The sequence below is a fragment of the Homo sapiens genome, chromosome 14, assembly GCF_000001405.40.
Source record: "Homo sapiens chromosome 14, GRCh38.p14 Primary Assembly".
Classification (NCBI taxonomy): Eukaryota; Metazoa; Chordata; class Mammalia; order Primates; family Hominidae; genus Homo; species Homo sapiens.
In genome coordinates this window covers 68,140,541-68,167,250 of record NC_000014.9, presented here as the reverse complement: position 1 = coordinate 68,167,250, position 26,710 = coordinate 68,140,541, and the positions used below count along the sequence as shown (strand labels likewise).

The 26,710-nt window shown below is 36.6% G+C and overlaps 1 protein-coding gene, 1 long non-coding RNA gene and 1 pseudogene across 14 annotated transcripts in view; 2 read left to right on the top strand and 1 right to left on the bottom strand.

The window, feature by feature from the left end:
* RAD51B (RAD51 paralog B) overlaps positions 1-26,710 on the bottom strand; it is an 863,318-nt gene that overhangs the window by 515,846 nt on the left and 320,762 nt on the right. The gene's annotated exons all lie outside the window — the stretch shown is intronic.
* Positions 14-26,710, top strand: part of LOC105370546 (uncharacterized) — a 45,990-nt gene continuing 19,293 nt past the window's right edge. For both annotated transcript variants that reach the window (XR_943976.3, XR_943977.3), the window contains exons 1-2: positions 14-61; positions 186-289. This is a non-coding gene — a long non-coding RNA (uncharacterized LOC105370546). The remainder of the gene's footprint in view (positions 62-185; positions 290-26,710) is intronic.
* On the top strand, positions 17,343-17,634 carry RN7SL706P (RNA, 7SL, cytoplasmic 706, pseudogene; annotated as a pseudogene).

The following is a 26,710-nucleotide window of genomic DNA, read 5'->3' as shown; positions in this document are numbered from 1 at the left end:
CCCACAAACTTTCAGTGTGACTAGAACAGAGGTCATAAGAGGATTCAAGACTAGAAACAAGGTAAAGATTATTAAGATTTCAATAACCAATATAAAGAGTGTAAACTTTGTCTTATAGCACACAAGAAACCACTAAATATTTTTAAAATGAGACAGTAATATTCTATGATTTGCATTTTGTAAAGGTTAATCTGGAAATGGTATCGAGAGTAGACTGTAATGAGACCAGACTGGTGGCAGGAAGACAATTGCAGCTGCCCGGTGACAGAAGAGCAAAAGCCGAATTAAGGTAGTAATTGTGGGATGGAGATAAGGGGCATAAAGTATTAAGACAGTTAAATCTACAGATGTTGAGGAAATGGGGTGAGGGTTTTTCAGCTTGAGAGATGGGGTGGATAGATATTCCATTCACAGAGAGAGCAAATTCAGGAACAGAATATTAAGTTTTATGTATGTTGTGCTACAAATCATTACAGGGCATCCAGGTAAAGAAGTTGACTAGTTCCTGGATTAATAAGTCTGGGGATCAGGAAAAATATCTGAGCCTAGAAATACATGTTTGGGAATCCGCAGACTGGTGCTAATGGGAATGATGAATTCAACAGCACTTTTCTTACACTCTCTTCCCTACTACGTTAGTTTAGCCTACTAACCAGGTAAGTATTCTCAAATTATTTAAAATTGAAGACACTTTTGAAGATGAAACTTGATTCACAGCTAAAAATATTTAATTGAAAATTTGGTACAGATAACAAAATAACTCTTTCTGAAAGCCAAACCATCAATTTTTTTACTATACTCTGGGTCTAATTAAAAGAGAAAAAGAGTTAAATTTGGCAAATAATTCTTAAAGGAAAGACTAGTAAATATAATGAAAAAAATTTACTCCAAAGATTTACTATGCTGAACTGTAAAAATAATAATTAGTATTTTGTACCTATTGGTTACAGCACCTTTTATGCTTCGGACTATGAGAACTTTATACTTTCATTAGTTTTCACAACATGCCTGTCAGGTTGGCTAGTGGACTAGGACTTTTTTCTTCATGTATAGCTGGAGAAACTAAAAAAAAAAAAAAAAAAGAGCAGAAATAATGTACCTGGTCTTCCAGTAGGCCATTAAAATGAAGCTGAAAACAGAATACAGATCTCAACTTTTGGTTTACACTCTCTCCCCTATACTATCATCACCATCATTTTCATAACAATCATTGGTAGGTTACCACTGGGTATCGGGCACAATATTCATGGTACTGTGCCAGGCCACCCTCTTACAGCATAAGATATTAATGCCGAGATCATTGTAAAGGGGGAGGTATGAGTAGGGAACTTTCTCTAAAGCCTTTCAGCTATTTCTTTTATGTACTATGCTTACCAAATTAGATGGATTATTATACAGCATGCAAAACTAAAAATAATTTTATAAAGTACTTGCAACTTCGAGTATAAAGCCAATGAGAAAATATATTGTAGTAAAGAGAGTTGTTTTTAATCATTACTAAAAAAGGAAGTTTAATGAGGGAGACAAGAGCTGGCATGAGACTTAGAGCCCTGCACCACCAGGTTACCAGTACAAATCCAGTCCAGTCTTGGACTGACTAGAAGTTACTTTGATAAAATACTGTTTTGTTGGCTAGTGTGAAATAATGAGTCTGTTTCATGCCAGTTCTCACAAGACAAGAATTTACCTCACAAAAATAAATAGTACTTCTGACCCTAATAAAACTCTTTACCCAAGAGGAAAAAAAATGCATATGAATAAAGTGAATTTCTGCCTACCAGCCACTGTCTTCCCCATAAAAGCGGCCCCATTTTCACTGTTCCACCCAAATCAGTAACCTCTAGATGGCCATTATCTCTGTCTGGCAAAGCTTGCATGCCACTATGTAGTCCTATTTTTCTTCTGAGATGAACTATAGAGGTTTCCAGGTTTTTAAACATAATGTTAACTAGTACAAAGTTCCCAACAAGTTACTAATGGGACAAAAGAATAAATTTCATTTTAAAGTGATTTTAAAATCTCCATACAGAAGAACATCTGAAAGTACTTAAGAAATATACTTAAGTCCCTGTTGGTTGAAAGAAAAAAACAACCCTCCGTTTTACTCCATAAAGATTATTGAAAATACCATGCGATTAATGCTATTTATATGGCACTGAGTTCAACTCCAAAGGTAACACTTAACCACACTCTATTTACCAAGTTAATCTACCAGATTTGTTTACTTTGTCTGATTTACTAAGACAAATACGTGAGTGTCTAAAATGTTTTATCTGGCCCTGGGAAAGGAAAACTAAAGGAGTGTTGTGCTTTTATTAATAGATAAGTGCAAACAGGCCCATCCTATCAAATGAACAGCTAGGACCTTTGGCCACTGTTTACTGAAAATAAAATTAGGCTTGGCTGGCAGGTATTTATCAGATCTGAGAATAATTAACTACCCACATCTGGTACATGTTACTGAAAATGCTAGTGGGAACCATTACCTTTGGTAAGGGTTATTTTTCCTGAACAGCTAACATCCCCTCACAAACTATTGGAATGCACTCCCAAACACACTCAGAGCAACACCAAAAGCAGTTCCAAAGCTGTTTTCCCACTTCAACCCAACAGAAAAACAGTTTTAGAAATCTAAAAGAAATCACCAAAACATGGCTGGTTCCCACCACACTCCACAATGCTCACCAAGGGGATCACTAGCCCCAGAAAGCCCGCGGAGCTTTGCAAACACACAAGGGTCATTTTAACTTAACAATAACATTTTGCACTTTAAATCTTGTTTGTTTTTTAAGGACTTCAGGGAACTTCACCAATGTAGTATAAAATAAGTATAGTTTTCACAATTCAAAAGGAGAGCCTATGAGCCCACAGCTCCCATTATTAGACAGTTGAAAAGGCAATAATCAAATTCACGTACACTGTGCCTAGTTCATTTCTCTTCCATCCTAACAATTTCATTACCAGGTGATAGTCTTCATGATTTTATTAAAGGAAAGGAAATGCTCTAAGGCATTTATATAAATAAGGAATGCAAAGTAAATTGTTTTATATCATAGAAGTAAGAGACAGGAAATTTAAGGGCTCTGTAATTACTTTCCTGTGAAATTCTAAATAAGTCACTTGTTTAGTCAAGTGACCTGTCATCTCTGCTCTGTAAAATTGGGAATACCAAGCCCTATCACAAAGCAGTAAAGAGGAATAAACTGCTGATGGCACCAGGAAAATGTTTGTAAACAGATAAGAAATTTCAAATCTTCAAGAACATTTCTTCTCAAGAAAAATAGGACCATATTAATAATATATTAATTAACCCAGCACCATTTATTACAGTATTTTTTCAACTTTTTCATAAATAAATATTACTGTCCTTCCTAATGTGACAAAGGAACTTGCATTCTAACGAGTAAGAACTTGGGTGATTTGAAGATCAGAAACTGCCTTATTTCCAGGGAAACTGCAAATTGAATTCTATTAACAATGAATAGGTGACCTGTCTGTACACACATGCCTTACTAAAATATGCTAGGTGGGTGGCCATTAGGCACCTTAGTAGATGAGGATATGAATTAAGAAACAAGTGAGTCTAAGGATACAGAGCCAGTAAATAGGACTTGGGAAACAGAAGAAGGCAGGCGTTATAGCCAAGGAGGAAATTTAATATGGGAGCGGAAAGAGAGGCCAAAGAAAAATAGAAGAAATAGAAAAAGCAATGAGTATTCCTGAGATTAGGTAAAGAAGTGAGGCCAAAAAAATGGGCACGACAGGCATGAGCTGAAGGACCATCGGGGGATAGGAGAGATGGGAAGAAAGTCATCCATGTGAGATATCAAAGCAAGTCAGAATTATTCAGTTGAAATCAGAGGAATGTTCATTGATCTGGGTTGGGTCTGATAAGGTTAAAAAGAACCAGAGAAAGGAATGGACTTGTAATTCCATGCTGCATACAGTCATGAGAATTTGGAAAACAAGAAGAATTATTTGTATAAAACTGGCAAAACGAGAAAATGCTAAGCCTCAAATCTTCCGACTCCAACAATAAATTTGACTTGCTGGATTGTAAAAGATTTCTTATATGAAATCCATCTGTAGTATCACTCTACTCATTCAGCTCTTCTACTAGAATATTATCTGTGGTTTGACTACAGAAGCACAGCTTTCCCTGGATTCATTCAGATATGCACAATTCAGAAACGACTTGCAAGTCTCAAGGAGTCAGACAGTATAAACTATTTTCATGTCATTTAACAAGAAGGTTGATTTCTCTGAAGTGTCAAACCCAATAACTGCAGCTATAATACATTTAACGCATTCTTCTGCTTTCATTATTCTTTCACAAAGCACATGCTTACAGGAAGAAAATTTCTGTATGCTTTTTAGTACATTAAATCCCTTATTATCATCCAAAGTTTTAGAAATGCTTTGGCTCAGTTTTGTTTGTTTGTTTGTTTTGTTTTGTTTTGTTTTTTGAGACGGATTCTCGCTCTGTCATCCAGGCTGGAGTGCAGTGGCACAATCTTGGCTCACTGCAACCTCTGCCTCCTGGGTTCACACCATTCTCCTGCCTCAGCCTCCCGAGTAGCTGGGACTACAGGCGCCCGCCACCACACCCGGCTAATTTTTTGTATTTTTAGTCAAGACGGGGTTTCACCGTGTTAGCTAGGATGGTCTCGATCTCCTGACCTCATGATTCGCCTGCCTCCGCCTCCCAAAGTGCTAGTATTACTGGCGTGAGCCACTACGCCCGGCAGCTCGGATTTTAAAAAATAATTATTTCCCCTGGTATAGAAACTTCTATATGAAATATTAAAAGGCTTTTGAGATAAACTTATATATTTCCTTTAAAAGCATTCAGTATTCAATTTAAAATATCCCTAGATTTCTATTTTAAGAAAAAAATTATAGGACTTATTTTAGAATGAAAAATTATGTCTGGGAAGTTAGCTTAAACTTGCATAAAACAAATATTTTAAAAAGGAATTTACGTTCTATTGCAATTTACTCACTAACCAAGATAATTCAATATTCTAAAGTTAGCTTCTATGGAAATTAAAGGAAGTTTCCCTGAATTAAGAGACAACTTAATTATACCTACATGTATGAATTATTTCAATCCTGCTCTCTATTACTTATTTCTCTCAAAACTGATGTTAATAGTAACAGCCGAGAAATTGAACCTAAAAAGCAGGGTTTCTTAACCTTACCACTACTGACATTTTAGGCTGGGTAATTCTTTGTTGTGAGGAATTGTTCTGTGCACTACAGGAGGTATAGGCATCCTAGCCTCTATACAGTAGCACCACACTCACCTCTGTGCACAGTTGTGACAATAAAAAAATGTCTCCAGAAATTACCAAATTTCCTCTGGGGGCAAAATCCCTCCTTTTTGAAGAATACTGCTGTAAAGTGATGGCAACCATCATGGTTTCACATTAAGGAGAAGGAGGAAGAAGCATGATGTTCTAGGGATACAAGGTGTGGAGAAAAGAGATGGGCTTTAGATTTAGGCAGATTTGGGTCAAAGTTAAGATCCTATCACTCATTAGCTATGCAGCCTCGTGAAAATTCACTTAATTAATCCTCAACTTCCTCATAAATGAAGTGAGAATAGTAACATTTTAGTTGACATTTGTCTTTCCCTGTCCAGAATCCCTTTTGGGGGGAAAAGACTTAAAAAGTCGTCTCTTCCTTTAGAGGAAACAGATCTCTTCTACTCTCAATCCAGTCCCTGACCCAGGGTTGAACACATGAACCAGGTTCAGCCAGTGATTTAATTGCATTCGCCAGGCCTTAATGCCTAGTGCAGGGATGTGCATGTGACCTATGCTGGGCCAATTATACTCAATTCTGAGACTCTGGCTCAAGCAATCAGGAAAGATTCATTCCCTTTCTACTAAGGTTGCTAAGCTAGTAGAGTATACACCTGGTGCTACTACACAGGAAAAACCTGAATAATAATAAAGCCAACCCAGTAGAAAACACGAGAGAGAAAGCCCTGACAAAATGATGTGTAATACCTGAAGTCAGATCTACTCCTTAGATTTTTCAATTGTGTTAGCTAGTGAATTCTCTTTTAACTTAAGTCAGTGTGAGTTGGTTTTAGCCTATAAAGTGCCTATCTCAAACAGGTGTTGAGAGGACCAAGTAAAATGAAAATAATAGGCCTATAAAGAGCTTCCTTCCCTTGAGTCCCAATTTATAGAAATCAAAACAAACACAACGATATAAGAGCCTAAAACACAATACTGTGAAGGATCAAACAAAAGAACTCACGTCTTGGCTTTGAGCTCTTTTCAATAAACTGCTAGACATTCCAAGAGAGTTTCAATTCATGGAGCCAAAAATGACTATGTAATTACCATGCAATGTTACCAACAATCAAGCCAATGAAAAGCACTTGCAGATTCTGGTTTGTTTGCCACCATTGTTTGTAAGTGGCCAATAGTATGGGTTTGCTTATAAAGGTTCCATAGGTTGATTTTATTTTATTGCCAGAAGGCTGAAAAAGGGATTTAGTAGATTAAAGCAAAAATAATAGGATTGGGACTAGGGTGAATCAAGCAAGGCACCCACTTCAAATGCAAAATTTTAGGAGCTACTAAAAAACTCAGTAGTCAAGATATAATATTTAATGCAATATTTTAAAAAATCAAAATTAATCCCACAAATCCATAGTGAAGAAAATATCAGAATTTTAAATAAAGACAGGATCAGTGTCATTGGTCTTTCATTTTGCCTCAGGCTCCAATATGACTTGGCAGGGCATTGCAAAACAGAGTAAGATTTCTAAGTTGTAAGAAGCAGAGACATATTTGGTGTTCACAAATAGCATCAAAGACCTGACTGCACTTGAGTGGCAACCTATTAAGAACTCTGAATTGAAAGCTAGGGAACTCAGGTTCAAGTTCCAGCTCTGCCATACTAAGGTATGTAACACTGAGCAAATTACCTGGCCTTTCTAATTTTAGGTTCTGGCATAAATAAATGGAAAGATCTATACCAGATGATTATTAAGATCTTTCTTAGCTCTAAAGTTATATGATTCCTTTGTAAAATGGATTTCTTTTGATGTCTAAAAACAAATCACAGTGAGTATGTTACATTTCCCAGCATTTGCGTCATCTGGGAGCTCATGAAATAGCAAGCTTTAACCATGAAGTCTGTCAGTGAAAATAACCCAGGTTGAGGGTGATTTTTTTTTTTAATAATAGGAGTGTTCTCACATGTTTCAAATGCCGTTTGATTGTAAGTTCCTACAATGGGGAAGTCGGCAGTTTTCTGTTGTGGGTATAGGGTAGCAGGTTGATCTGTGTCTCTAAAAATTGAAATAATTCACATGGCTACCCAATGACAAGCCCATTGAAGCATAAAGTAATTGGGTTAATAAGTGACTGCTTATAATTCCCAAAAATAGGAAAATGAAAATCTAAAATTGACAACAAAGCACATGACAAACATCTGGAACGGGAGTAAGAAAAAAGTGTAATATATTAACGCTAAAGAAATGGCATAATATGTTAAAAGTAGTAAATGGTTAGAAAGCATTGGAAATAGAATGTAAAAACTGAGTATGAAAAACTAAAATGTCTGTGTTCAGGGTCCAAGCATATACTTTGTCTTTTTTTTTTTTTTTTGAGATGGAGTTTTGCTCTGTCACCCAGGCTGGAGCACAGTGGTGCGATCTCAGCTCACTGCAACCTCCACCTCCCAGGTTCAAGTGATTCTTCTGCCTCAGCCTCCCGAGTAGCTGGGATTACAGGCACACGCCATCGTGGCTGGCTAATTTTTGTATTTTTAGTAGAGACAGGGTTTCACCATGTTGGTCAGGCTTGTCTCGAACTCCTGACCTCATGATCCGCCCACCGCAGCCTCCCAAAGTGCTGGGATTACAGGCGTGAGCCACCGTGACCAGCCTCAATAGCATTTTTAAAAGAACCTTGCAAATGAAAATGAGCTATTTTTTTAATCAATTTTTTAAATTTTAACTTTTTAATACAAAATTTCAAAGACAAGGTAGACATGATAGTATTCATGATAACCCCCCTAAACAGACACACCCATTACCAGCTTTAATAATTGTCAACTCATGGCTGATGTTATTACATCTACACCCCCATCAATTTCCCCTATTCTCATAAAGGGCTACTCATTTTAAGCCCCAAAACAAACCTTTTGGGAGCATTAGTTTCCCTGTTTATACAATGAAGGCAATTATATTAACCTTCTCACCTACAATAAAAGTTGCAAAAAAAAAATAACCAAATCTTTGAGGCTCTTCTAACACTTACTTTGGTGTCTGCTTGTAAGAAATAAAAAGATAGAAAACAGAATCAACTTTTGTTTAAATAAGTCTTTCTTCTAGGCAGTTCAAAGTGCTTTGGGAGAATTTATCTTTCATTCTCCCAGCACCTCTATGTGGCCAATGAAAGTATTATTATTCACCTTCAGCAGATATAGAAATTAAAGGAAAAGGAAATTATTCAGGCCGGATCAAATGAAGAATCGACAGGAGAGGCAAAAATAAATCCAGGTTTTCTGACTTCCCGTGTTCTTTCATTACGATATGCCACTTTTACTCCTATTATAATACATGTGGTTGAAACAACTGTTTTCCCTAAATGAAATGGACTTATCCTCTATCAAAAATTTTATACATTTAAAAGTGCTATATAGAGCAGTGTTATACAACATTTAGGTGTTAAAGTATATTAACTGACTGACGTTAAAGTTCACTTTGTAGATTCACATAAGGCCACTCTTTAGTTGGTTCAGCTTACCTAAAGAAGACAGCAAAAAGTAAAGGAAGGAAATTAAACACATCTGTGGTTCACTAGAATTGAACAATTACAGTTCGGCATTTCATAGGTTTGAAATCTAAACCATTTACTTGGCAGATGCAAAAATTACTTCAGTGTTACACTGAAGAATTATACCATTTGGGTCCAGTCCATAGTGCCACAGGCATGGATGATGCAACTTCCAACTAAGTTACAGAGTATTTTTACAGCACTTACCAACTCATTATAACTTCATATATTTAAGACATTTTCCTTCCGATTCATACAATGGTTCCTGTTCATTGAGTTTAGTCAAGGCAGGTTGGGATGGTGGCTTGGGATGGGAGAAGAAAAAAAAAGGCTGTGTGAAGGGTGTGGTGAGAATAGTCTGCCACAAGCTAGGTCTCCCTGAATGTGGCCTATTATTCATTTTATGGGATAAATCAGGGCAAAAGCTCTTTCTCTTTCCATAGTCTCAATAATAGCCAGCTGTGGCTTGAGCAATGTCTTCTAGGATTATCACAGCAGAGATCACAGCTTCCTAAACACTCAGATGAATAGTTTAAAAATTTATATTAGAAGGGGATTCTTCTCCAATGATTTCTGACTTTGAAAATAATACTAATGGCCACGAGCTACCCAATGCCTGACTCCTATGGTTTTCTGACAAACTACATATAAATAAACAAACAAACCAAATAAATAAAAACAAATAGGTTTAAGTCATATTTCTTAAAAAAATAATAGTTTGTTATTGCCATTATTATTGTTTTTATTCAGGATGTAGAGCTCATCTGGATTGCTGCTTCTGAAATAAGACAGAAAACAGAATTACAATATAATAGAAAGGACAGTGAACTGGTAGTTAAGCAACCTAGGTTCTTCTATCTGCACTAACCAGCTCTGCTGGACAAGGCTGATATACTGCAGGACAGAAGTTTTCTGTCAAAAGAAATCCATGTTCCAAATGACTTCTCAGACTATTTTAGTTCTGAAATTCTTACACTACCTAATTCCATACCTTTTATTTTATTACTTCTATATAGTATCCCCATCTTTCACAATGCCATCCCTTTCATATAACATGCTTAAGTATGTTAATCAAATCTCTGTTGATTAGCTTATAGAAAACCTGTTTAAATCCAAAGCAAAGAAAAAGAAGCCCTTGTATTAAGTGAACTTTTAATAGCACTCTTTTATGGGTGTAAGTTAATATGAATAATAATATTTTCTAGTTCTCCAAATCCCCAAAGTAAGTCCCTTTTGCTTATTTTGTTTTTGAGATAGGCTCTTGCTCTGTCAACTAGGCTGGAGTGCAGTGGTGTAATCATGGTTCACTGCTGACTCAACCACCCAGGCTCAAGCAGTCTTCCCACCTCAGTCTCCCAGGTAGCTTGGACCACAGGTGCATGCCACCACACCTGGCTAATTTTTGTATTTTTTGTAGAGACAGCGTTTCACCATGTTGCCCAGGCTGGTCTCGAACTCCTGAGCTCAAGCATCTGCCTACTTCAGCCTCCCAAAATGCTAGGATTATAGGCATGAGGCACCATGCCTGGCTGTGAGTCCTTTTTAAATGGATGATATCCTCTTTAAATCAAAGAGATGCTATGGAACCAGGTGACCCATAATACCAAACAAAGGTTTACACTTTTATGTAAAAAAGTTCAAAATTCTGCCAAAAGAAAAAAAATTTACCAAGGTTTCCATTTTCAAACTTTCAAGAATAGCATTGGGTGTATTATCATTAATAAAAGGATAATAAAATCATAATTCATTATAGTTCAAACATTTTATCTTTTCCTAAATATTTCATGAATAAATATCACAGTGTACATGACCCCATTAGAATGAAGTTAAATACGAATAAACATAGAAATTTTTTAAAAACTGAGCCTTCTGGGCATACTGCATGCACAGCTTAATTCCAAACTAAGACCCAAGAATAGCAAGATATGCTACTGTCAGTTTCATAAAGGCAGAGAGAGAGAGAGAGAGAGAGAGAGAGAGAGAGAGAGAGAAATTTTCTAAGGTGCTTTCTTGACTTAAAAAGGGATTCCCCTAAAAGCTGGTAAGTAGATAAAGGAGAAACCAACCTTCCACACAAAAAGGCATAAAAAACTAGGAATAACAATGTTATAGCAAAATATTTTGGAATTTTAAAACTTGAAATACAAAGCCTTTCCCTGTGGAGATGAACTTCCATTCTGCAAGGACTCTGTCAACATTATCAACCTCAAACACTTGGCGCATGCACACACAAAAAAAGTGATGACATAGCAAATTGTCTGGAAACAAACAAATAAACAAAACTAGTATTCTCTCTCCCTGGAACCAGTGCTGCTCTGACAGAGCAGGCAAAGCAACCAGCATGTCAGGACTTCATTTTACAGTCTGTTTAATTGTTCTATTCCAATTCAACAGTCTGAGCCCCTCTTCAAAGTGCAAGACAGAAGAAACAAAAAGATCTTCCAAGATATTATCTAGTTCTTACTTCACTAGCTTCTATTGAAGAAACTCTAAATGCTAATTAGCCACATAAACTGGGCAGATGAACACCACGTCTCTATGTGTTACTAATCTTACACATAGACAGAGGAGGGTCTCTTTCTGCTCTGAGGGCCTCATCAATCAGAAATTCTTCACACTTGCTGAAAACTGCAAAAACCTTTGTATATTGCATCCTGGATTCACATTTGCATTCTAGCTACTGCTCTTTACCCATGAACTTTTCTACTTTTCAAACTGACTATTTATAAAAGGATAAAGCAGTAGCAGTAACTACCCTATCGCAATCTAGTTGAATTTTGCAACCATTTATTGACTTGGTTGCCATTATAGGAACCATAAGAAGAGGCTTTTCTGTATTTTTTGTGCTTCTTCTCTTGCCAAAAATCACTTGGTTCCCCAGTGAAGCCCAAATAACAAAGCAAAATAAGTAAAAACAAAAATCTCACACCTATTTTACCTCTATAAAGAAATATAGGCCGGGCGCGGTGGCTCATGCCTGTAATCTCAGCACTTTGGGAGGCCGAGGCGGGTGGATCATGAGATCAAGAGATCGAGACCATCCTGGCCAACATGGTGAAACCCCGTCTCTACTAAAAAATACAAAAAATTAGCTGGGCATGGTGGCGGGCACCTGTAGTCCCAGCTACTTGGGAGGCTGAGGCAGGAGAATGGCGTGAACCCGGGAGGCGGAGCTTGCAGTGAGCTGAGATCACGCCACTGCACTCCAGCCTGGGCAATAGAGCGAGACTCCACCTCAAAAAAAAAAAAAAGAAATATAATACTATACTATGATACCAACCCAGCTCCCCTTGCGTAATTTCCTTTTATATAACATGTTCAACAAAACTTACCATTCTAGTAGCTTGTACATGTCTTTCCCCCCAAAATTCAGTAATCTACCCATTGATATGGTCAACAATGGTACAAAAAATTGTGTTATGCAAATGTTTATGAAGAATATGAGTGGGAGGAAGACTAGATAATGGTAATTCTCAGATTAATTCTCTTTCCTAACTCTCTATAATGAAATGTCATGGATCTTTCAGTTAGAGATTCCCTGTTTTGTGATTGGTCATTTCTAGAACTACCAATGAAAACTTAAAGGAAGATCTCTGAGCACTTTTGCTTTTGACAAAGATTAAGTAACAGGGACCAGATTTACCCTACCACCTAAAACAACCAACAATACTTTTCAAGAAACAAAACAAACAGAACAATGTCTTTTCAAGACACTGGACATCTGGTAAGAGATGAGGGAAAAAAAAAAAAAAGGAAAGTTCTACAATTTCCTCAGGCCATTACCTTAAGAGAATTTCTAGGTTGTGTTGCATGAAGAGGGAACACAGGTGGAATCCAACAGGCTCCCTGAAGTGAGGAGAAGGAGCTGAAAATTCAGAGAAAAGAAGACAGCTAAAGTTCACAGAAGAGATCTTAGAGAGTCTCCCTCAAATATTCATCAGAGTACTGATTAGTGCATGCATGTAAGGAAACTGCCTGAGGCTAGAGAAAGAATGCTCTGAGAGGAGTAGAGGGTAGAGTGCCTGGCACTCATACAGGACCAAGAATAATGCCTATTTTTACGAATAAGAATGGAAAACTTCATAATGCATGAAGCATTGGATAGAATACTCAGACGGGTCTTGCCTTGATGGTGGGGAATGATTAGCTTTAAATTAAATAGTTCTGCCAAAACAAATCCTGAAAGCAAGATCCAAAAGGATGTGTTTCCAAGTAACTTAACTGCATCCCAAAACAAAGTTTAAAATTTATAGGAATACAAATATCTTGCACCCAAAAAGGTGAAATTCACAATGTCTGGTATCTAATCAAAGATAACCAGGCATGCAAAACAAGCAAGAAAATACAACTCACAGTGAGGAGAAAAATCAACCAATTGAAATTAACTCAGAACTGACACAGATACTAGAGTTAGCAGACAAGGTGCTTTGTATAGTTAAAATAAGAAGACGATTAAAATACGACTCATGAATCACATGGCTTATTGACAAAGAGATTCTTTTCTCCCCCACAATGCTTAAACAGGTGGAGAATAATGAGAACAAATCTCTTAGGGAATACACTCAATAAATGAGATACACTAACCTCATAGTGTGTGAGTTTCCATTTCATTTAGAGTCTAATTATTAAAGTCTATTTGCCCAATTAGGGTGGAAGTAGGCCGCCATGAATACAAAGTCTAGTCAAAGTTTGAGGCATAAAACTATGCATCTGACAAATGTCTAATATCCGGCATATATAAGAAATGTAAATGAATTTACAAGAAAAAAACAACCCCATTAAAAAGGACATGAATAGACACTTTTCAAAAAAAGACATATATATGGCCAACGAGCATATGAAAAAAGCTCAATATCACTGATCATTAGAGAAATGCAAATCAAAACCACAATGAGATAATATCTCACACAAGTCAGAATGGCTATTATTATAAAGTCAAAAACTAACAGATGCTAGAGAGGTTGAGGAGAACAGGAAACACTTATACACTGCTGGTGGGAATGCAAATTAGTTCAACCATTGTGGAAAGCAGTGTGAAAATTCCTCAAAGAGCTAAAAATAGCACTACCATTCAGTAAATCAATGTGTACAAAGGAAAGATCACTGGAAAGGATAACCACTGGATAATTCAAATTTATTTATTATATTTATTTCTTATTATCAAAATATATTTTACAGATAATTGACTAAAACAAAATCGAGTGTGGGATTTATAACTAATGTATATTTAAATGTATGACAAGTACTGTAAGACTATTGTTAAGGTTCTTATACTATACGTAAAGTGGCACAGTAACACTTAAAGATATTGACCCAGCAATACTACTACTGGGTATATACCCAAAGGAATATAAATCATTCTACCATAAAGACATAGCACATGTATGTTCATTGCAGCACTATTCATAATAGCAAGGACATGGAATCAACCTAAATGCCCATAAATGGCAGACTGGAAAAAGAAAATGTGATATATATACACTATGGAATACTACACAGCCATAAAAAGGAATGAAATCATGTCTTTTGTGGGACCATGGATGGAGCTGGAGGCCATTATCCTTAGTGAACTAACACAGAAAAAGAAAATCAAATCACATGTTCTCACTTATCAGTAGGAGCTAAATGATGAAAACTGATGGACACAAAGAGGAGAACAACAGACACTGGAGCCTACTTGAAGGAAGAGAGTGGGAGGAGGGAGGAGCTAAAAAAAAAAAAAAGATTGGGTACTAAGCTTAGTACCTAGGTAATGAAATAATCTGTACAACCAACCCTGTGATACGAATTTCCCTATATAACAAAACTGCACATGTACCCCTGAACCTAATAAAAAAGTTAAAACAATTACCAATTTGTTAAGTTAAAAAAGCAAAAACAAACAAAAAACAACATCTGAGGCGTATCTTTTTACAAGAGATTCTAGGGAGTGATGATTTGACCAACACAATGGGGATCCACAACAACATGAAAAGTCCCTCAACACTAGCAAGTGGTGCTGATGTTGGCTGGCCAGGCTCAAAAGAATAACTCAAAGGCTAACAGAGAGTAGCCCTGCCACAGCCTACATTCTCAACGTATCTGTCAAAATCTTGGGTTTATATGTGTTTTAGAGTCCAGTAGTTGAGGACATATATGAGTTCATATATGTGGTCTGATAAGGTGTGATATAACATTTCCATGGGGAGGAAGATTACACTCTGTGTTCTTACCACAGCAAAACTTTTATCATTCATGCAGCAAATTATGTGTCTGGAATCATTTCAAAGCTACATAACACGAGAACATTAAAATAGTCTTTATGGCTGGGCATGGTGGTTCACGCCTGCAATCCCAGCACTTTGGGAGGCCAAGGTGGGCAGATCACCTGAGGTCTGGAGTTCGAAACCAGCCTGACCAAATGGAGAAACCCCGTCTCTAGTAAAAATACAAAAAATTAGCCAGGCATGGTGGCGCATGCCTGTAATCCCAGCTACTCAGGAGGCTGGGGCAGGAGAATCACTTGAACCCAGGAGGCGGAGGTTGTGGTGAGCCAAGATCATGCCATTGCACTCCAGCCTGGGCAACAAGAGTGAAACTCCATCTCAAAAAAAAAAAAAAAAAAAAAAAAAAAAAAAAAAAAAGTCTTTATAACTATAGTCCATGTTTGAAAAGTCAATAGAAATACTAAAAATACCCAAATCAAATTTCTAGTGGTAAACACTACAATGTCTGAGGTGACAAATACACTGGATAGAATTAATGGTAGATTAAACATTGCAAAAGAGATGATTAGAGAACTTGAAGGCATAACAATAGAAACTATGCAAACTGAAACACACACACACACACACAAAAAACCAAGAAAAATGAATGGAGCTGTGGGACATTAGTGAGCTGTGGGACAATTTCAGTTAGCTTTATATATGTGTAGTAAGAGACCCCAAAGATGAGAAGGTAGAGAGAGAAGAAAAATATTTGAAAACATAGTGGCCAAGATTTTTCCAAATTTGATGAAAATGCTAAACAAACATATCAAAAAAAGCTCAAGAAAACCCCAAGCATAAAAAGCAAAGAAAAGGACACAAAGGCACATCACAATCAATTTCTCAAAATCGAAGAGAAAAGAAAATCTCAAAAACAACAAGATTAAAAAAATTATATATATATGCAGAGGAACAAAGATAAGGATAAGCACAGTTTCTAGTCAGAAACAATAAAAGTCAAAATACAATAAAGCAATAACTACAAAAAGCTAAAAGAAAAAAATCTATCAATCTAGAATTCTATACCCAACAAAGATATCTTTCAAAAACAAAGGTAAAATAAAGACCTCTCAGATAAACAAAAGCTAAAATAATTCATCACAAGGAGACCTACACCACAAGACCTGATAGAGAAAATTCTTCAGGTAAATCTCATTCAGTAAATCAGTCTATACAAAGGAAAGATCACAGGAAATGGTAACCACTGGGTAATATATATTTATTAAATTTATTTTCTTATTATCAAAATATATTTTACAGATAATTGACTAAAATAAAACTCAGTGTGGGATTTATAACTAAAGTATATTTATGTGTAAGTAAAATGTATGACAACTACTTTAAGACTATCGTAAGGTTCTTATACTGTATGTAAAGTGGTATAATATCACTTCAAGATAGACTGTGATAAGTTAAAGATATATACTGTCAAATCCTATGGCCATCACTAAAATAACTACACAAGGAGTTACAGCTAATAGAACAATAGTAGAGGTAAATGGAATCATAAAAACACAAATCCAAAAACAAATAAGATATAAGGTTAATGTACATAAGTCAATTGCTTAGTTATATACTAGCAATGAGCAATTGGAATTTGAAATTAAAAACACAATACCATTTAGACTAGCATCAACAAAAGGGAAATACTTAGGTATAAACCAAACAAAATATGTACAAGACCTATGTAAGAAAATTATAAAACTTTCATGAAAGAAATCAAAGAAGATCTAAATAAGTGGAGAAATATTCTATGTTCATGGATAAGAAGACTCAATATTGTTAAGAAGTCAGTTCTTCCCAACTTAATCCATAAATTTGGTGCAATCTCAATCAAAATCCAAACAAGTTACTTTATGGATATGGACAAATTCTAAAGTTTATCTAGAAAGGAAACAAACTAATAGCCAACATAATACTGACAAAGAAAAACAAAGTTGGAGAAATAAAAGTCTTCAGGCTGGGCACGGTGGCTGATGCCAGTAATCCCAACACTTTGTGAGGCCAAGGTGGGTGGATCACCTGAGTCAGGAGTTTGAGACTAGCCTGACCAACATGGTGAAACCCTGTCTCTTGTTAAAAATACAAAATTAGCTGGGCGTGGTGGCGCATACCTGTAATCCCAACTACTTGGGAGGCTGAGGCAGGAGAATTGCTTGAACCTGGGAGGTGGAGGTTGCAGTGAGCTGAGATTGCACCATTGCACTCCAGCATGGATAACAAGAGTGAAACTCTGTCTCAAAAAAAAAAAAAGTCTTCAACTTCAAGACTTACTATAAAGCTACAGTAATCTGACAGGCATGGTGGCATGCACTTGTAGTCCCAGCTATTGGGAGGCTAAAGCAGAAAGACTGCTTGAGTACAGGAGTTCTGGGCTGTTGTGTGCTATGCCAATTGGATGTCCACATTTAGTTCAGCATCAATATGCTGAAAGCAGGGAACCAACCAGGTTGCCTAAAGAGGAATAAACTGGCCTAGATTGGAACTGGAGCACTCCAAAACTCCCATGCTGATCAGAAGTGGGATCAAGCCCATGAATAGCCACTGCACTCCATCCTGAGCCACATAGTGGGACCTCATCTCTTAAATGAATACATGCATACATTCACAAAGCTACAGTAATCAAGACAATGTGATATTGGTGAAAATATAGATAACTAGATAAATAGAACAAAATAGAGCCCAGAAACAGACTCACATAAATATAGTTAAATGAACCTTGACAAAGAAGCAAAGTCAATTCAATGCAGAAGGATAGTCTTTTCAACAAACGATGCTGGACCAAATAGTCATTCACATCAGTCTAAACACTGACCTTACACCTTTCAGAAAGATTAACTCAAAGTGGATCATAGAAGTAAATATACAATGCAAACTATAAAAATTCCAGACGATAACATAGAAAAAAATCTAGGTGATCTTGGGCTTGGCAATGAGTTTGAATATAACACTTAAAGCACAATCCATGAAAAAAAAATTGATGTTAGGCTTCATTAAAATTAAAAGCTTCTGCTCTGACAAAGACACTGTTAAGATAATGAATAGACAAACCAAATATTGGGAGAAAATTTTTACAAAACACCTATCTGATAAAGGACTTGCATCCACAGGACTCTTAAAACAGCAATAAGAAAACAAACAATCTGATTTTAAAAATGAGTAAAAGATCTGAACAGACACTTCTTCAAAGAAGTAACACAGATACCACTACACACCTGCAGATCCTCCTCAACTTACAGTGGGGTTATGACTCAATAAGTTCTTTGTAAATTGAAAACTCATAAGTCAAAAATAAATGTAATATACCTAACCTACAGAACATCATATCTTACTTGGCTTAGCCTATCTTAAACATGCTCAGAACACTTCCATTAGCCTACAGTTGGACAAAATCATCTAATGCAAAGCCTATGTTATAATAAAGTGCCAAATAACTCATACAATTTATTGAAGAGTACACTGCACAGTACTGATTGTTTACCCTTTGACCACATGGCTGACTGGGACTTGGGGCTTACTGTTACTGCACAGTATCACGAGAGAGTATCGTAACACATATCACTAGCCCAGGAAAAGATCAACATTCAAAATTTAAAGTATAGTTTCTACTGCATGCATATTGCTTTCACACCATTGAAAAATCAAAAAAGTGTAAGTCAAACCATTGTAAGTTGGGGAACATCTGTATCAGAATGACTAAAATCCAAAGCAATGACATCGCCAAATGCTGGCAAGGATGTGAAGCAACAGGAACTCTCATTCATTGCTGGTGAGAAAGCAAAATGGTACAGACAGTTTGGCAGTTTCTTACAAAGCTGAACATACAGCAATCCTATAATCTAGTGATTCCACTCCTAGGTATTTGCCCAATAAAAAAGAAAGCATACCTCTTTTCAAAAATTTGTAGTCAAATGTTCATAGTAGATTTATTTGTAATAGCCATAAACTAGAAAGAACCCAAAATATCCATCAACAGATGAATGGATAAGCAAATGTAGTATATACATACAGTGGAAAACTACTTTGCAGGAAAAAGTAATGAAGTACTGATACATGCAACAACATGGATGAATCTCAAAATAAATTGGAGTAAAAAAGCAAGACCAAAATGAGTTTATACTGTATGATCCATTAATAAGGAACTCTAGAAAATGTAATATAATCTATTGTGACAAAAACAGATCAGTGTTTTGCTTATGAGGGTAAGGTAAGGAAGGGTAAGAGACATGGATTGCAAAGGTCATGTAGAAACATTTAAGGATAAAAGACATGTTAATTATCTTGAGTGTGGTGATGATCTAATGGGTATGTAAATATGTTAAAACATCAAATTGGACTAAATATGTGCTGTTTATTGGATGTCAGTTATAACTCAATAAAGCTCTTTTTTTTTTTTTAATTTCCCTTGCTTTATCTTTTTTGGTTCCATGTTTCACTCTCACAATAATTCCTTCCAGCTGTGTTGTAATCTCCTTCCGTAAGAGTTGTTTAAAATATAAAGAACAACTTCTTCATTTACCATTATATAAAAATATTTATTGAAAACCTAATGTATATAAGCCAATGAAGTGGGCACTTGAAGGGGATACAATTGGGCATTATAGAGATAGATATCAGATTACAAGGGATAAATAATACAGATGGTGATGAAATCTAGTGACAGATGCAGTTTACTAGAGTATAAAAAGGCTCAGGGAATGATTAAACAGTAAAGCAATTATTAGGTCCATGAAGAGCTCTTGCCAGAAAGTTTTTGGAAATGGCCAGGTTAATGTGTCAGAATTTCAAGCAGAATATAGAAGTTCCCATAGACAGGTCCTTACAGGTAAATTATTTTATATGTTCTCATTTATTAAACTGAAATACATTAAATCTCAATGTGAGGATATGAGCATAGAACTAATTTTTAAAAGTAGATTCCAGGACACATGTATTCATAGTATGTCTTCTGTAAGAAAAGTACAGAAACACATAGTCCCAGTGTCATCCAATTCAACTATTTCTCGTAGGTTTATAGATCTCAGTTGATGTTTTTAAAATACATCAACTTTGGCACTCTCCCCTCAAAGGCCAGGAATCTCTGGCTGTTATGCCTCAAGTGGAATAAGACTCCCGGAGAAATTCTTTTGCCACCACAACTATTTCAGTGTGGTTCTAAGTGGCGAGTCTCAATGCTTGCCAAATTCCTCTGGTCTGATCCCATCTGGATGAACCCAAAATACAGCAAAATAGGACCTTCTATTTCCTGGTCATATTTGATTATCCAATATCCCTCCAGAATCATGCCTGCTTTTTATCTTTAAGCAATCATTGGCCTAAGGCTCTTAATCTAATCTAAGACATTGTGTACAAATAGGCACAAGGAACACCCCCTCCCAACACTGCTATACTTTCACCTTTACTGAAAAAACAATTTAAAAAAAACCCTAAGAGTGTTCACAGCTTTTACTTATGTAGCCATAATTATGGGCCAAATTATATGAGCCTCAAAGTCCCCTGACAATTAATGGTTTCATATGAAGGATCCACTACGTGTTAGGTACATAGTGCCTCTTTCTAATTGCACTTAACTTCCGTTTAAAACCTAAGCCAGGGTCCTCTAATAGAGAAGCAAAATTCTGTCTAGTTCCTTAAGGTCCTTCCCTCTAATTCAAACTCAAGGCATTCCAGTAAGCCAACAACACCCAAGCAATTTGAGAGGCCCTTAAATGAAATTCCCCTGAGTCACCTCCTGCGACGATTCTAAACTTTTTTGTGGGGGAGGGGGCCGTGGGGGGGAAACAGAGTCTCAGTCTGTTGCCCAGGCTGGAGTGCAGTGGCGCCATCTTGGTTCGAGCAATTCTCCTGCCTCAGCCTCCTGAGTAGCTGGGACTACAGGTGCACGTCATCATATCCACTAATTTTTTGTATTTTTAGTAGAGATGGGGTTTCACCACGTTGCCCAAGCTGGTCTCAAACTCCTGAGCTCAGGCATTCCGCCCACCAAGGCCTCCCAAAGCGCTAGGATTATAGGCATGTGCCACCACGCCCAGCCTAAACTTTCTTTTCTTGCTCTGGCCTTTGCTAAATCCATCTTAGCTTTTGTTTCCTAACTCATTCCACCTCCCCACACTACTAGTTAAATAATGTAGTCCTTATTCCTTTTAACAACAGTCCTGGGCCCCTTTATATTGAACATAACTTCTACCTATACTCAGACCAAGTACGTATAATTTCACACTGAAGCTGTTCATCACATAGTTCAGTAAGTTTCAGAAAAACACTAAAAATCCAAAGTTTCTAAAAATGTAAACATAATATTCTACATAGACTATATATTCTAGATTTATCTAATAGTGTTTAGCCAGATGAAAAGCAGGGGCCAAACCCAAGTACTCTCCAAATGTCTTCTTTGGGTGAGTTCAACTTGTACAAAAGTTCTTGGATAGGATGCAGATGCACTGCAGCTAAGTACAGAGGAAAGCCATAAAGAAAAGGGAAATGTATGAATCACAATCAAGATATAAATAACTTTCAGTAATTCATTTCCAGACAATTCACTCAATTCACATATTAATACTGACTTCAAGAAAATACTACTGAACAAGAGAGGCTCAGAATACCCAATAATGAAATACCTATTTTAAGTTATTATTTACACATATCACATTTTTCTGTGAACAGCAGATTTTTATAATAACTTATTAAACATAATATGTGTAACAGGTACTTTAATGTAGGTTATATAATTTAATACCCACAATAACCATAAAGTATTCTTGTTACTTTTGCCATATAACAGAGGAAAAAACAAGTCCCCAAAAGCTTTGGTTCCTTGCCTAATGTACCCCGCCCGTAGGTGGCAGAACAAGATATTCAAACCCAGATCTATCCAGCTCCAAAGCCTGTGCCCTTTCCAGTAGGATGCAGTCTCTGATGGAGTTCTCACTAGTGCTTTGGAAAATTCCTGACACATGGAGCACAGGTGTTATAATGGAAAACCACTAGACAATGGGTCAGAAGACTTGTCAGCCTGGCTGTGGCATGTGTGTGACCTTGGTCTAATCATGTTCCTTCTGCAGGCTTTTTCTCATCTATTAATATAAAATAGGGAGTTTGGATAGTTAATATTTAATGGCTTTTCCAGCTCTAATGTTTTACCATACTGATTCTATGAATTGTAGACAATGCAAAAGCATGTAATAAGGAAATGAGTAATAAAAAGGTTAACTGGGTATTTGAAACAATATAGCCAAGCAAGTCAAAGATTGAGGAAATTATACAGGCAGAAATGGAAAAAAATGGCTTTGTAGTGTTATCTTCCCAATATGAATAAAAAAGACTTTATATAGTATACAAAAAGGTAAACAAGATCCCATCAAAAAAAGAATTTTAGCAAACAAATTCATCTGTTTGAAGTTAAAATCAATTAACATTTTAATTATTTTAAATAAAACACAAAATACAGACATGAGAAAACATAGACAAACCCCAATACAGATATGCTTTGAGGTTTTTTTGTTTACTAGCTTCTGAAGAGGATATGGAGTTCCTTTTATATAAACAGAAATGTGGGTTGGCACTGCCAGGTATAGGGCAAGATAGTTAACGAAGTTTCCAGAAAGAGCAGCAGAGAACAACTCATTGTATCTCAAAAAGCTCTACTCATCAACAAAAGACAATGCTCTACTACAAAAGACAATGACTGTGTGAGATTTTAATCTTGTTTTGCTTTCCATATTAAGGCCACAAAGTCAGTCTGTGCAAGCGCAATAACTTAAAACCTTCATAGTACATGGTGTTCCCCTATATTGAGCCAAGATTCTTCAATCAGGCTTCCTGAGATTCTTCCTTGATTTTCTAAAATGATGACAACCAAGTGCCTCTTTGCTCAGCCGCCCTCACTAAGAGCCAATATGAGACATATGCAGACAAGCTCTGTGGGGAAACAACACAGGCCAGGGGTGAAAGTACACCTAAGCTAGTTCTCCAACAGCTGGGGCTAGACAGACAGCAAATGACCAAGAGCTCTCTGGGCCTTAGGAGGCCAATGGTTTGGGATGAACTGTCAGAATTGAGAAAGTGTCAAATTTCTAGGCTTGTGAGAGAGTACAGAGGCTCTGGTTATCCATCTTAAGTTCTCTCATTAGGTAAATATGTTTTATGTGGAAAAAAAAGATGATGAGCAGCCTGGCCAAAGAACCTAAGATAAATGAAATCTTCCACAGGATGTTCACAGACAAAAAGGCTGAGTAATGTAGAAGAGAAAAAAAAAATCCCTGAAGATGAAGGGAGGGAGAAAAAAATAAAGCCATCAGTTCTAACATTTGCCAAGGAAAGAGAGTGAGAACACTGTTTGGACTGTCCATAAACCAGGTAAAAGTGACGGTTGGTTCTGATAGAGTCCACACACACTTACAATACCCTTCCACCAATGCCAACCACCCTGCGCTTCCTCTGAAGGTTGCAGCTGCTTTTCAAAGCCCCCAGAAAGCAACAGGCAGAGTATAGTGACAGCTGGAAGGAAGGAGATTAGGCAAGGACTTGGCATAAATAGAAGTGTAGCCAAAAGGCACAAATATAAAGGGAGAGAGACAATTTTCCTGTGTGGTTTGTGTGTGTGGTATGGGGGGAGCTCAAAATAAGAGCTAGCCAAAGTTCTGGCCTTGACAGCCTGAAGGGTTTGGCAAGCACAGCATTTCTCATGGCAGCCGGGCCAGGAAATGAAGCTTTCAGCTGTCTGCTTCAATGTTTTGCTCACTGTCACCATTTTCATGTTTGGCCGCTGGCCCATTTGTATTTTCTTCTTCTTTGGAGATTAGCACATAAGTGTGGACAAAGTCCATTTTGGTCATTCAGGACTCTGCCATGTATCATTTCCTTCCACACCATTATCTGTCAACTAGGGACTTCAAGAACAAGAAATCCTGACAGAAGACTACACAAGCTATAGAATTAGATGATTTGTAAAAGACCTTGGAGATCATCTAACCCAGCCTGATCAGACTGATTTTACAGATGGGGACACTAATAGCAGCTAAGAGAAGTAAGGTGACATGCTAAAAACACACCAAAACTTAGAAAGTGGCAAAGTTGGGACAAGTACCCAGCTCTCTCATCCCCATCCAGCCAGTCACCTGTCCACAGAAATCACAGTGTTCCTTTAGGACTCCATCTCAGACAGCATAATAACTCCCCCCCCACCCCCTCGCCCTCCGCGCCTTTTTTTTTTCCTTGAGACAGAGTCTTGCTCTGTCGCCCAGGCTGGAGTGCAGTGGTGCCATCTCAGCTCACTGCAAGCCCCCAACCCCTTTTTTAGTGGAGACTTGATAAAAACTGTGATGTGTTCTGACTCTCATCAATAATTTGCATATAAGTTTGGTAAGTAATTATCCAAAATGTGTGGTCTCCAAAAAGAGAAACAAATGTGGAGGCACAGAACAGCACTCAGAGAAAAGACCCAAACTAAAACCAAGCAAAACACATGGCATTAAAAACCATCTTCATAAAACTTAGATTCCTACTTTTACTTATTACATATAATTATCACTATTATTAAATCATGACGATCATGCTGCTTCCCAAATAAACTATGGCCTCTGTTTATCCTGTCATGTTGATTTACAAAACAGCAAGTCAATTTTAGGCCTTGGAGATGTCTTCTAAATTAAATTAAGCATGGATTTAAAATATTATATTTCTAACTCAAGGAACAAATTTAAATATAGAAGATAATATTTTCATTTGAAAGAAAGAAAAACATAAAGAATGAAAAGTTACTTGCAACAAAAGTAAACCTATATTATAGAAATCATTTCATAACTTTTTTTGCCAATGGAAATAATTTCTGATATTGACAGAAATCACATACTCAGAAATACGTAACCCTTAAAGGGCTTAAAAGAGTCTAACTCTGAAAAGGAGTTTGAGAGTGGAGGGGTAGGTAGATGTAAATCAATCTGCATGTAAGGTCATAACAAAGCAATCTATCTTCTTTCCTCAAACTGTGGTTTCCTTTACTCTAAAAAATTTTTTCTTCCAGTACTATAGAAATCATGTCATATGACATTTAAAAAAAAAACACTTCATTAACTAGTAAAAGTTAAATTAACTAGTTTTTCCTTCTTTATATTCATTTCAGTGTAACAGATAGTCTTTAATAGCTTTACCAAGCATCATTTAATTCTGGGAATAAGGAAATTAAAGGATGCTTCTGACATAAAAGCACTCAAAATTAACTGGGGAAACCAACATATGAATGGAATGACCCTGAGTCATAAGTCTTGTGATAAAAGGTACTTTGAAAGCACATGGGAGGGGCTGCAGACCAGCCTGGGAAGGTCTAGGAAGGCCAAATGAAGAAGATGACACCTGAGATAAAGGATAAACATGAGTTAGGCAGGTTAAAAGAAAGGAGTCCTACTTTTATTATGCTTTATGTTTTCTTATCTAACATACTCATTTCATAGGAAATTTGATCTATCCCATAAAACTTTCGAAGGAAAAATGACATCATCATTGTTGTGTCGAAATAAGATTAACAAAGAGTACCAAACATACTGAATATCAAAAAACAAAGACTTAAACCAAATAATAATGTTAATGTAATACCCAAACGTCAGAAAACACAGCAACTTTTCAGCGTTGTCACACGAGATTTGTCTACTCATATTTATGTATTACAGAATACTAACTATATGCAGGACATTTTGCTAGTGCTGTAGCAGATGCAATCATGATTAAGCTGGTCTCTCTTGCCAGGGAATTTATCATTTTGCTTTAGTAGTATATTCTTTCCCATGCAGAGAAAAAGCAGCAATTCTCAAAACTTTTAGTCTTGGGTTCCCTTTAAGAATATAAAAATTATTGAAGACCTATAGAGCTTTTACTTGGGAGGATTATATTTACCATATTAGAAATTAAAATAGATGAATTTTAAAGCATTTATTTAATTCATTTAAAACTAACACTAATAAACTCATAACATCTTATCATAAATAACATTTTTATGAGAATGACTAGATTTTCTAAAACAAAAAATGTTCATGAGAAGAGTGGCACTGTTCTGCATTCCTGCAAGTTTCTTCAATGTCTGACTTAATAAATGACAGCTAGATGGTGACTCTTGGCACAGTAACAAGGGTGACCCTATGCTCAACTTGCTTCGACAGTCCCGGTTTATTGCTGTTATCTCAGAGTAATTATTAATAGAGCCCCTTTACTTTCAAAAATATCCTAGTTTTGATGATAAATTATATGGTCACCTTGACAATACCCAGTTCAGAGTTTGAACTATAGAATGCCACTTTGCCCGGTTGTTTCAAATTGATTGGAATATAACCTATAGATTGAGTGCTATCAATTAACCAGATTTGCCTAACCTCTAGACTAATAAAACACTAGTCAAAACCTGGCACATTAATTCACACCATCACCAGAAATTGAGACAACTCAGTAAGACAAGAGACTTCTTTGAAAAAGTATGAAATCTACCAGACCTAACTCTGTGAGCATGGCAGGGGGTATGAAGAGGACTGCAAAAGAAATGCTGTAAATTCTGATTAGTGAACCTTGAAAGTGACGTGAATTTGGCTTTGCATCCCAAGTGGCAGAGAAACCTCAGCAGTTATCCAGCACTTTTAGAGAGTAGGGTAAAATTATAAGAACATTTTTATGAGTTGT